The 12,073-nt window shown below is 34.7% G+C and overlaps 1 long non-coding RNA gene across 3 annotated transcripts in view; it reads right to left on the minus strand.

The window, feature by feature from the left end:
• Positions 1–12,073, minus strand: part of NUTM2B-AS1 (NUTM2B antisense RNA 1) — a 135,095-nt gene that overhangs the window by 120,581 nt on the left and 2,441 nt on the right. For all 3 annotated transcript variants that reach the window (NR_120613.1, NR_120611.1, NR_120612.1), the window contains exon 2: positions 2,533–2,636. This is a non-coding gene — a long non-coding RNA (NUTM2B antisense RNA 1). The remainder of the gene's footprint in view (positions 1–2,532; positions 2,637–12,073) is intronic.

Here is a 12,073-nt window from a genome sequence, read left to right on the forward strand (position 1 = left end):
TGGGAAAGCAAAACCTTCTCTCTACTACTCACTGCAAACAAGCATGTTGTGCAAGCTACTGCTGCCAACCAGGTCACATCCATTAGTGAAGTCAATGCTGTGGAGAGAGACATTCAAACCTGGGTCACTGATAGTATCATTTTCAATTTCTGACCCAATCAATTCTGGGGCTTCCAATTCCTCTCTCCATGGTCTTATGTGAAATAATACATTTTTTAAACTGTTGAAGTCATATTGAGCTGAAATTTCCCTTAATTACAACTCTTACTATTTTAACTATTTATGCTAAGTTTCTTTGTTCCAGAAAAAGTACTTTAACTCGGCCGGGCGTGGTGGCTCACGCCTGCAAGCCTGTAATCTCAGCACTTTGGGAAGCCGAGACGAGCGGATCACGAGGTCAGGAGATCGAGACCATCCTGGCTAACACGGTGAAACCGCGTCTCTACTAAAAAAAACAAAAAATTAGCCGGGCGCGGTGGCGGGTGCCTGTAGTCCCAGCTACTCCAGAGGCTGAGGCAGGAGAATGGCGTGAACCCAGGAGGGGGAGCTTGCAGTGAGCCGAGATCGCGCCATTGCACTCCAGCCTGAGCGACAGAGCGAGACTCCGTTTCAAAGAAAAAAAAAAGTACTTTAACTCATTTTCATTTTTGTAGGACTTGAATTTTTTAGGGCAGTTTCAGTTTCACAGAAAAATTAAGAGGAAGACATAGAGATTTACCATATATATGTAGTAATATATATTATATATGGTAATATACCATATATTACTATATATATATAAAAAGCATGTGGAGGCAGGGTATATTACATATATATATATACACACACACACCCTGACATAATATATATATATATATACACACACACCCCCTGACATAATGTGTATATATAATATATATTATATATTGTATTATATATGTAATATATCCTGCCTCCACATGCATGGCCTCCTTCATTATCAGTATCTTCCTCCAGAGTGGTACGACTGTTAAAATTGCCTCTACATTAATACAATTTTATTACCCAGTGGTAAATATACATAACATAAAAGGTACCATTTAATCATTTTCAATTCTAAAACTCAGTGATATTGAATACATTCACAATGTTCTATAATTAACACTGTTTTCATAACTTTTCTATCACATCAAACAGAAGTTCTGTACCATTAAGCACTAATTCTCCATTCCCCTTGCCCCAGCCTCCATGCCCTGGAAACATGCAATCTGCATTCCCTCTGCATGAATTTGACTATTCATGATCTTTCATATAAGTAGAATCATATACTGTTTGTCCTTTTGTGTCTGGCTTATTTTATTTAGCATAATGTTTTCAAGGTTTACCCATGTTGTAAACATGTATCAGAACATCATTCCCTTTTTATGGCTAAATAATCTTCCCTTGTATGTACATGCCACATTTTGTTTATCTACACATACAGGTTTGTTTTCACTTTTTGACTCTTGTGAATAAGAATGAGTGATGGTATCTGGTGTGTGCATACAGCCATTTTCTTACTAAAGGCCAATAGCATCAAGCAGTCTACTAATGGTTGTTATTTATCTGATTAGGATCCAGAGTTCCAAAAAGGTTAATTCTTATTTTTTCCAGTTTAATGGCAGTTTTTGTGGAGGGATTGACTTCTATAACTCCCTATTCCAATCTTCTAAAATCCACTTTAAAAGAATGGTTTAAATTGTGTGCTTGTAGGATGAAATTGATAAACAATTATTTTAATAACTTTCAAAATTACATCATAGAGATAATGTCCTTTGACTATTGGGTGTTCACATATTTGGCATGTTATGAACAACTTTCTGGAAGATAAAGGCCTTTTATCTCATACTTAATATTAAGACAGGAACCAGTGTGCTAGCAATGGCTTTTGGGTTTGATGTGATATATTTGTATGTAATGATTTTTTAAAACTTAGAGAGAAAAATCCTCTCATACAAAACAAAATAGTTTTTACTGTTATGAGAAAGTAGTTATTAATTACTTATAAAACATGCAAGTATCTTTATGATATTTGGTGATTTATTTTTCTCCAGCCATCTTGTCTTGTTGTTAGTGGGGAAAAAAATAGGGATGCTCTTTATCTATGAAAATGTGAAAAGTATATACACATTTTAACTATACATGGTTTCCCTAAAAATTCTTCTTCTGTTTTTAATCCTCTAAAATGATCATTGATATGTACAAATAAATATTGATGATAGCAACTGAAGGATCATTTTTGCTGTTATCAGAAATTGAAAATACTGTAACAGTCTATCAATAGAGAAATGGTTATGTACATTATGATACATAGCATATGTCCATATTTAGAATACGTACCAAATGTATACAACAAAGTACAATGAATACATGATTATACTAAGATGGATAGGCATGGATCCACATATTACTCTGTTTGTACATGGTCTTTTCCAAACAGAAATACAACGTAAGAAAGAAGAAAAGAAAAATAAAGAGAAAGAGAATAAAGGCGACAAAATAAAATATAAACCAGGATGCATAAGCTGGTCTCACCTTAGGGCTGGAACACCAGTAAAGCTTCTCTTCTCTGGAAAAAGTTTAGGTCTCTGAAGTTTTCTCAGTGCATCATAACTGACAGCAGCAGGAATATGGTTTTGCTAAAGGCAACAGAAAAACAAAACAGTCTCAAGATTTAAATATTAATCCAAAGGTTAAACTTTTTACCTTAATGTTGCTGCTTTCTGTATGCACATCCCACAGGATGTAGGAAGGTGGAAAGGATGAAGGAATGTGGAAAATGTAGAAAATTAGAAAATAAGGTAAATTTAAAAGGTAATACGACTAACATTCATTCATTCACATTAAGCTCCTACCTTGTACCACATTCTATTGTAGACACTGCGGATATAGCAGTGAAAAAAAGAAAATAAAGAAAAATATGCCTTTTGGAGCTTACATTCTCTTGGAAGGAGATGTGTAACAACATAAATAATTAAACTACATAATATGTTAAGTGTTGCTAAGTGCTATGGAGGAAAGTAAAGCAGACAAAGCAAATAAAGAACACGAGGAGGAGATATAATTTTAAGTAGGGAAATAAGGAAGGCATGACGGAGACAGTAGCATTTGAGTGAAAGACTTGAAGAAGGTGATATGGTTTGACTGGGTCCCCCACTAAATCTAAAGCTTGAATGGTAGTTCCCATAATCCCCACATGTCATGGGAGGGACCTGGTGGGAGACAATTGAATCATGGGGGCAGTTACCCCCACGTTGCTGTTCTTGTGATATGAACGAATTCTCATGTTCTCTGAGGGTTTTATCAGGGTTTTTTCCCCCATTTTGCTTGGCACTTCTCCTTGCTGCCACCACGTGAAGAAGGATGTGTTGCTTCCCCTTCCACCATGGCTGTAAGTTTCCTGAGGTCTCACCAGCTGTGCAGAACTGTGACTCAATTAAAACTCTTTCCTTTATAAATTACCCAGTCTAGGATATGTTTTTATTAGCAGCATGAGAAGGAACTAATCCAGGAGATAAGGAAACAATTCAGGGGGGAATTTGAAGACAGGTGTTTTCAGTCAGAGAAACCATGTACAAAGCATCTAATGTGAGAGTGCTATGGTCTGAATGTTGACAACCCCCCCCCATTACTGTTGAAATGTAATTCACAGTATGATACTATTAAAAGTTAAGGTCTTTGGAAGGTGATTATGTCATGAATACAGAGCCTTCATGAAGGAGATTGGTGCCTTTATAAAGGATGCCTGAGGGGGTTGGTTTGTCCCTTCCACCATATGACGACTCCACCATGTGAAGAAGAAGATGGGTCTATGAACTAGGAAATAGGGCCTCATCATATAAGGAATATGTGAGCACTTTGATCTGGGACTTAGCTTCCAGAACTGTGAAAAATAAATTTCTGTCATTTATAAGCTACTTAGTCTACGGTATTTTGTTATAGCTGCTCGAATGGGCTAACACAGAGACAATTCCCAGCCTGCCCAAAGAGCACCAGGAAGTGTTGGGTACAGCAAAGCTGGAACAGAGGCATGAGGGGAAGAGCAACAGGGCTGTAATCAAAGAGGTGTGCCTGGTGGGGAGCATGAGTAGAGCTGTATAATCTGTACAATAATGACTCAGAGTGGAATTAGAAGTCCTTAAAAGTGAGTGAGCAGAGTGGCATGATCTCCATGATACTATGTTATATTCTTGCTTGGGTATTGAGAATAGACTGAGGGTGAGGGCTAATGCAGAAGCAGGAAGGGGGATAAAAATTCAGATGAGACATGATTTTGGCTTGGCCTGGGTGGATAACAGCAGTAGTAAAAATTACTTAAATGTTTTGAAGGTGGGTTTGCTGAGAAGTAAAGGATGTGTGGAGAAAACTGGATTGAGAATTGTATAAGGACTGTATTGTATATTGTATGAGAGTGTAGATCCAGGATGAGTCACAGTATTTTTGAAGTTGTAGTAAATGGAATGAACTAGAAAGATAGAAGTTAATGTTCAGAAGGCAGGAGACTTAAAAGTTAGATTGTAAAAATTTGCAATTAGTAATAACGTGGTTTGAGCTGAGATCATGAGATTGAATAGCTAGATACTGAAGATAGCAAGTACATTGGAAATGACGAGGTCAAATGTCAAAGAAGGTAAGTAATTTAAATGAGACATCAAAATAATGGCAGTTAAGTCAGGTTGTAAAGACTGCAAAGAATGAGGGAAAGTGACTAAACATTGGGAGAGTGATCAATATAATCAAATGGTATGAGATTCTAAGCTGGAGGGGTTTGAGGAGAAGGAAGTAGAAGTATTCTGCAAGAGGACACTTATTTTACTTCTAGAGGCAGTGGTTAGAGCGCTGAGGGTGAGAACTAGTCTGCACTTAGGGGGCGACATGAGAAGCAGCAGCATCAGTGAGAGACAGATGACAATAAGAATGAAAATGTAAAGGGAAAATTGAGAAACTTATAAAAATTGAGATTCTTCTATGCACTCTGTACGTTTCTTACAGAAGCTTTCAACGCATTTAATTTCATTTAAATCTTGCAATACTCTTGAGAGATATTATCATTCCCTTTTTACCAAAAAAGGCTGAATGGCCAAGATCACATAAAATCACATAAATAATAGAAGTCAAAAGTATGACTTTAACCCATCTAGTGTTATAAGAACCACATAATCTTCAGTAAGTTGAAAGTATCTTAATTAAATTTAAAAAATTAATAAATATTTTTTCAAAAGATGTATTCAAGTTATCAATTTGAAGAAAAATGAACATATTACTTAGAAACAGCCCTGGATTACAGTCCCAATTATATCACTTAATAATTGTGTGGTTTAGGTAAGCCATGTAAAGTTGCTGTACTACTTAAATTTAAAATAAAGACAATTTTACCTAAACATAAAATTGTTGTAATGTTATTGTGCAGTTATAAATCACTTATTAAATTATAAATTTATGATAAGTATTAAACAGAATACTCAATTTTAAGCCATAAGGTCTTCTATTAGAAAAATATTCAAATATAATGTGATACATCACTCATTTTTATAAAGAAAAATATAAATTTAATTATAGCCTTAATAAAAAATTTTGGAGGTGCATTACCAAGGCCAAATTTATATTTCATAAAATGAACAAATTTAAGATGTGTACCTTAACTTTATGTATTTCTGCACTCATATTCACACCAGCCATATCAAGATAAAGAACAGTTTCACTACCACAGAAAATATTGTGCTGCTTTATTCCAGTCGATAACAACCACTGGTCAAATTTGTCTGGAATCATATGCTTTTGTGTCTGACCTATTTTACTCAACATGATGATTTGGAGATTCATCTATGCTGTTTTATGTGTCAATATTTTATTTTGTATTGCTATGTATTATTACTCTGTAAGTCAATATCATAATTTATCTCTTCTCCACTTTATAGATGTTACATCCAGTTTTTGCCTACAAAAAAAACCTGCTGTGAATAATTTTATATAGGTCTCTATTGTGTGAATACACACCCTCATTTATTTTTGGTATATACCTATAAATTGAATCACGATGTCACTGGGTATGTGTGCAGGTTAACTTTATAAGAAATTGCCAAACTTCTTTAAAATATAGCTGTAAATTTACTCTCCCACCACAAATGTATGAGATTTTCTTTGCTTCATAACCTCTTCAACACTTGCTATATTCAGTCCCCAATTTTTTTTCTTAAGAGATGGAGTCTTGCTCTATCACACAGGCTGGAGTGGAGTGGCACAATCATACCTCACTGCAGCCTTGGACTCCTGGGCTCAAGCTATCCTCCCATATCGGTCTCCAGGTATTTAGCCATTTTAATTTTACCAGTTCTCTTGGATACGTAATGACATCTCACTGAGGTTTTTATTTTCATTTTTTCTGATGACCAACTATGTTCAGCACATTTTCTTATCCTGATTCCCCAATTGGCTGTCTTCTTTTATGAACTGACCGTTCAAGTCTTTTGCCCACTTCTAATTGAGTGATGTAACTTCTGCATAACAATTTGTAGGATTTATTTACTTTCCATTGAAATATTTTGTCAGGTCTATGTATTTCAAATGTGTTATCTAACTGCGACATTTCTATTCATTTTTCATTGAGGTAAAAACATAACTTGTGATCTGTCCTCTTAGTAAGGTTTTAAATGTACAATATAGCACTGTTAAGTATAGGCGTGATGTTGCACAGAAAATCTTTAGAACTTACGCAACTTACACAACTGAAACTTTATACCTGTTGAACAGCAACCCTTCTTCCTCCTGCCCCTAACCATTCTATTCTCTATGAGTTTGACTATTTTAGAAAGCTCATATATGTGACATCATGCAGAATTTATCCTTCTGTGACTGGCTTATCATGATATCCTCCAGGTTCATCCATGTTCTTGCAGATGGCAGAATGTCCTTCCTTCTTAAAGCTGAAAATATTCCATTGTATTTATACACCACATTTTCTTTATTCATTTATGTGCTGATGGACATTTAAGTTTTCAAATTTTGTTGTTTTGTGAGTAATGCTGCAAAGAACATGGGTATGCAGGTAACTCTACCACATCCTGATTTCCATTCTTTTGGACATATGCCCAAGAGTAGGACTGCTGGATCATATATTGGTTCTATTTTTAGTTTTTTTGAGGAACCTCCATACTGTAATCCACAGTGGCCGAACCAATTTACATCCCCAGCAAGAGCGTACAAGGGTTCCAGTTTCTCCACATCACTGCCAACACTTGTTATGTCTTGTTTTGTTTCATAATGGCTCTCCTAATGAGTGGTAAGTGATATAATATTTTGGCTTTTATTTGTATCTCTCTGATCATTAGTGATGTTGAACATCTTTTCATATACCTTTTGGCTATTTGTATGTCTTTGAAGAAAATTTATTCAATCTTTTTGCCCCCCTTTTTAAGTTATTTTTTTCTGTTGTTGTAGGAGTTCCTTACATATGTAATGAGGTTTTTTTGAATAAATGAATATAAGTTTAATATAGTAAAAACATTAACACAATTTTTATTTTATGTTTAATACATTTTCTGCTCTAGAAAAAAAATCATTATTTATCTCACCCAAGATCATTATGATGTTCCTCAAAGTATTCTTCTAGAAGCTTTAGCATTCATATTTAGGTCTGTGATCCATCTTACATTGAATTTTGTGCATGATATGAGTGAGATATTAAGACTAATGAAAATGCTAATTATAATAGATTCTCAGGTCCTAGCCAAAGCTTTTGTATACTGGGATCTCTTGAGATCTAGGTCATTTAAAGGTAATAGACGATCAGTATTGATGAATTTGTTTTCTTTTTCTATCTAGTGATTCTCAACCTTTGTTCCATATTAGAATCAAGTGGTTTGCTTGCTTGCTTCTTTTTGTCTTTGCTTTTAGTAGCACTGCCTCAATCCTACCTTCAAAAATTCTAATTTGATAACCTGGACATCAGGATTTTTGGGGAGAAGGGGACAGGGTCTCACTCTATCACCTGGGCTAGTGTACAGTGGCATGATCACAGCTCATTGCAGCCTCAAACTCCTGGGCTTGAGGGATCCTTCTGCCTCAACCTCTCACATAGCTTGAATTACAGGTGTGAGCCACCATGCCTGGTGACACTGGGATTTTAATGGGTCTCTGGGTGAGTCTAATATAAAGCCAAGTTTGGGAATCATTGACAAGCTCCAAAAGCCTGGAAAAAATGTATACATGAAGATAGAGATTAGTGTTACTCTCTCCTTGGATGAAAACCCCTGACAAGTTTTATTGATTTATTGGGAAACAACATTGGAAGCAGTTTCTCCTCTGCCTCTTTAATCCCTTGGCCAACGCAATCTTGAGTTAAGCGCAGTCTCACTATTAAGTCTTGTAGGGTGAATACATCTTTACTTCCAGTTTTCATCCACTTTATCTTCATCTCGGAGAATTATTGTGAAAAAAAAAAAAGTTCTCAGTGTATAACTCATATTAAGTAAAAGACATGTAATACATTGTAATAATTCAGCAAATATTGCTTGTGGTGTTTTACCTACTTTACACATGTGGAAAATTTAAGGAAAAATTTTAAATAGTTCTACATTATTTTCATAGAAGAATCACAGTAAAATAAGAACTTTGCAAGTCCACATTTTACTACGTTGCATTATTTGAAAAGAAAACTAATTTTGAAGTGTCTGATGATTTCAAAACACGGTTCACTATTATTTCATTAGTGAAAGAAGATGCATGCGAGCATTTGAAATAGAATTTTTAACATTGACTTAGATACTTTCTCTAAATGTATTAGACATAAAAGTAAATAGTATTTATATATTTGTTTGTAAGATGCTATAATTTTAAATTTAAATGTCTATGTAGCTTTTTCTGAAGGAAGCTGCTCTGACATTGTGGAAGCAATTTGGGGACATTTCTCTTACTTGATTGATTCTTTTCTTATCCAGATGCTACCCATTTTCAAGATTGCACAAACTCCACTTCTATAAGGGAACTCAGCCCACAAGGCTCTCATGTACATCAGTAACATCTATATCTTTACTGAATTACATATGCCTTGCCCTATCAAATGAAATTATGTACCACGAAGTCAGGATCATATCTCAACTCTTCTGTAAACTCCACAATGCATAGCATAGTGTTACTCATGGAAAAATCAAATACTTGTGATTGAAATGGGTTAACATTCTTCTCATGTTAAGGAACATACTTCTTTAATTGTACCTGTTGTTATGCCGGGTGTAAGACTTATTCTTTTCTCCAGAGTTGATATCAATAATTTAAAAACATATAAGAATTGGAGATAAATGGGGAAACAAACAATTTATGAAGGTCAAAACTATGAAGTAAATTTCAGTTCATGGTTATTTGGTAGAAATACTAGGTTGGAGAGTATGGTTCACATTTGAGACCAAATTAAATATTATTTAATAGATTTCTTTCACACTTAGTTGAAGGAAAGCATGCAGTAAAAACCTAGCTTGACCAAAAACCTGACTTGCTCTTGGCAAAAATTGTGGTGGAGACTGAGAGAGAGAGAGAGAATGAATAACCTCTACCCTGTGGGAGGGTCTTTCCATTGCAAATGACGCAAGTAGAGAATCTGATGAATCCGAGCCTAGGAAAGTCAAAAAGGAAGCAGATTGGCATCCAGTCATTGAAGACACTAAACCTGAACACTAAGAAGACATGATTAAATAAATGTCAGGTTCTGAACAATTAAACTGGTTACTTCTGTTACATTGAAGGAGAGAATACCTTGGAGTCTAACACAGTTTTCCAAATAAAAAGATAATAAGGCAGAAGATGACACTTTGTTTACTAAATTTTCTAGTTCATATTGAATAGTTTAATTAGAACTTGAAAGCCAAGGTCTCAGGGAACCATTTTTAAAGTGCTTTTCAAAGAGCTAATATTAAAATAATTATATGTAAATAACAAATAATTAGATATGAGGCTCACAAATGAAATATTTATGTTCATATAATATGGCTAATGTATGGTAACAATAGTATTAAATCTATAGATCTATGATGGGAGAATTACTAGAAAAACAAGAGTAGGTCTCCCAATCCATGAGCATGGAATGATTTTCCATTTGCTTAGGTTATTAGTTTTCAGCATACAATTCTTACACATATTTTGCTAAATGTATTTCCAAGGGTTTATTTGTATAGTATTGTGAATATAATTATTATCTTAATTTTTTTAAGAGATAGAGTGTCTTTCTCTATCTACCAGGCTGGAGTGCAGTAACTTGCAATCATAGTTCACTGCAACCTTGAACTCCTGGCTCAAGTGACCTTCCTGCCTCAACGTCCTGAGTACCTAGGACTGAGAGGTGAATGCCACCATGCCTGGCTAATTTAAAAAAATAAATAAATTCATAGAGAAGAGGATCTGTCTTTGTTGCCCAGGCTGGTTCTGAACTCCTGGCCTCAAGTAAGCCTCCTGACTTGGCCTCCCAAGGCACTGGGATTACAGGCCTGAGCTATTGAGCCCAGCCACTTCCATTTCCTGATGGCTTTATTGATGTATTCTTCATTGTATTGACTATAACTTCCAGTGCAATATTGGATAGAATTAGGAAGAGTAAATTTTATAGACATCTTTGGCACGTCACCAATTTTGAGGGGCAAATATCCAGTCTTTCACCATTAGCTATGCTGTAAAATGTAGTGTTTTTGGTTGTTGTTGTTGTTGATGTCCTCTATCAGGTTGAAGAATTTCCATTCTTTTTTTTTTTATTAATTCACATTAGATTCTGTCAAATCCTTTTCCTGCATCATTGAGATAATCATTTCATTTTAGTTCATTTTATAACATAGTATATTACATTACATTTTGTATTTAAAATACAAAAACAGTCTTGCATTTCTGGGATTAATTTCACTTAGTCATGGAGTGCAATCATTTTTATATATGGTTGAATTTAGTTTGATAATATTTTATTGGAGATTTTTGTGTCTATATCTGTGAGGTATATGGATCTGTAATTTAATTTTTATTTTTTTCTTTTTAAAAATTTTTTTCTTTCTCTTTTCATTTTTGCTTTTGAATATAGGCCTTATAACATCAATTGGGAAGTTTCTTTTTCTATTTTCTGAGTATGTGTATCATTTCTTCATTGAATATGCAAAATAACTTACCAGTGAAGTCATGTGGTCCTGTATATTTCCTTATGAAAGACTTTTAATTGCTAATTCAACATATTTATTCAGATTTTCTATTCATTTTTATTTCAGCTGTGGTAATTTATATATTTTTAAGACTTTCTACCTTAAATATAAGTTGTATAATTTGTGGTCACAAAGTGTTTCATAGTATTTCCCTTATAATTCATATATTTGGATGGGATGGGGGAGGATTGGTAGTAGTAACCTTTGCTCCTGATTTTGGTAATCAACACATTATCTCTTTTTTCTTTCTTTTTTTTTTTTCTTTCTTTTTTGAGACAGAGTTTTGCTGCTGTCGCCTAGGCTGGAGTGCAATAGCAGGATGTGGGTTCACTGTAACCTCCGCCTCCTGGGTTCAAGTAATTCTGCCTCAGCCTCCTGAGTAGCTGGGATTACAAGCACCTGCCACCATGCCTGGCTAATTTTTGTATTGTTAGTAGAGATGGGGTTTCACCACGTTGGCCAGGCTAGTCACGAACTCCTGGCCTCAAGTGATCCACCCGCCTCGGCCTCCCAAAGTGTTGGGATTACAGGGGTAAGCCACCATGCCCGGCCTTTTTTATTATTCATCATCTAAGTATTTCTCAATTTTATCTCTTCAAAGATTCAAACTTTGGATCTTTAAATTTCTTTATTGTTTTTTGTTTTATTTTCTGTTTGATTGATTTCTGCTCTAATCTGTATTATTTATTCGTTTTTCTTGCTTTGTGCTCAGTTTAGTCTTCCTTTTCTAATTTCTAAGGTTGGGAGAAAGAATTATTAAGAACTCTCTTTTTAAAATAACCTTTAAATTTTGATATAATTGTAGATTTACTTACAGTTATAAGAAATAATATAGAGAGATTTCTTGTAACCTTATCTCAGTTCTCCCAGTGGTAACATCTTGCAAAAGTATAGTACAATATCATAAC

The sequence above is a fragment of the Homo sapiens genome, chromosome 10 (assembly GCF_000001405.40).
Source record: "Homo sapiens chromosome 10, GRCh38.p14 Primary Assembly".
NCBI lineage: Eukaryota > Metazoa > Chordata > Mammalia > Primates > Hominidae > Homo > Homo sapiens.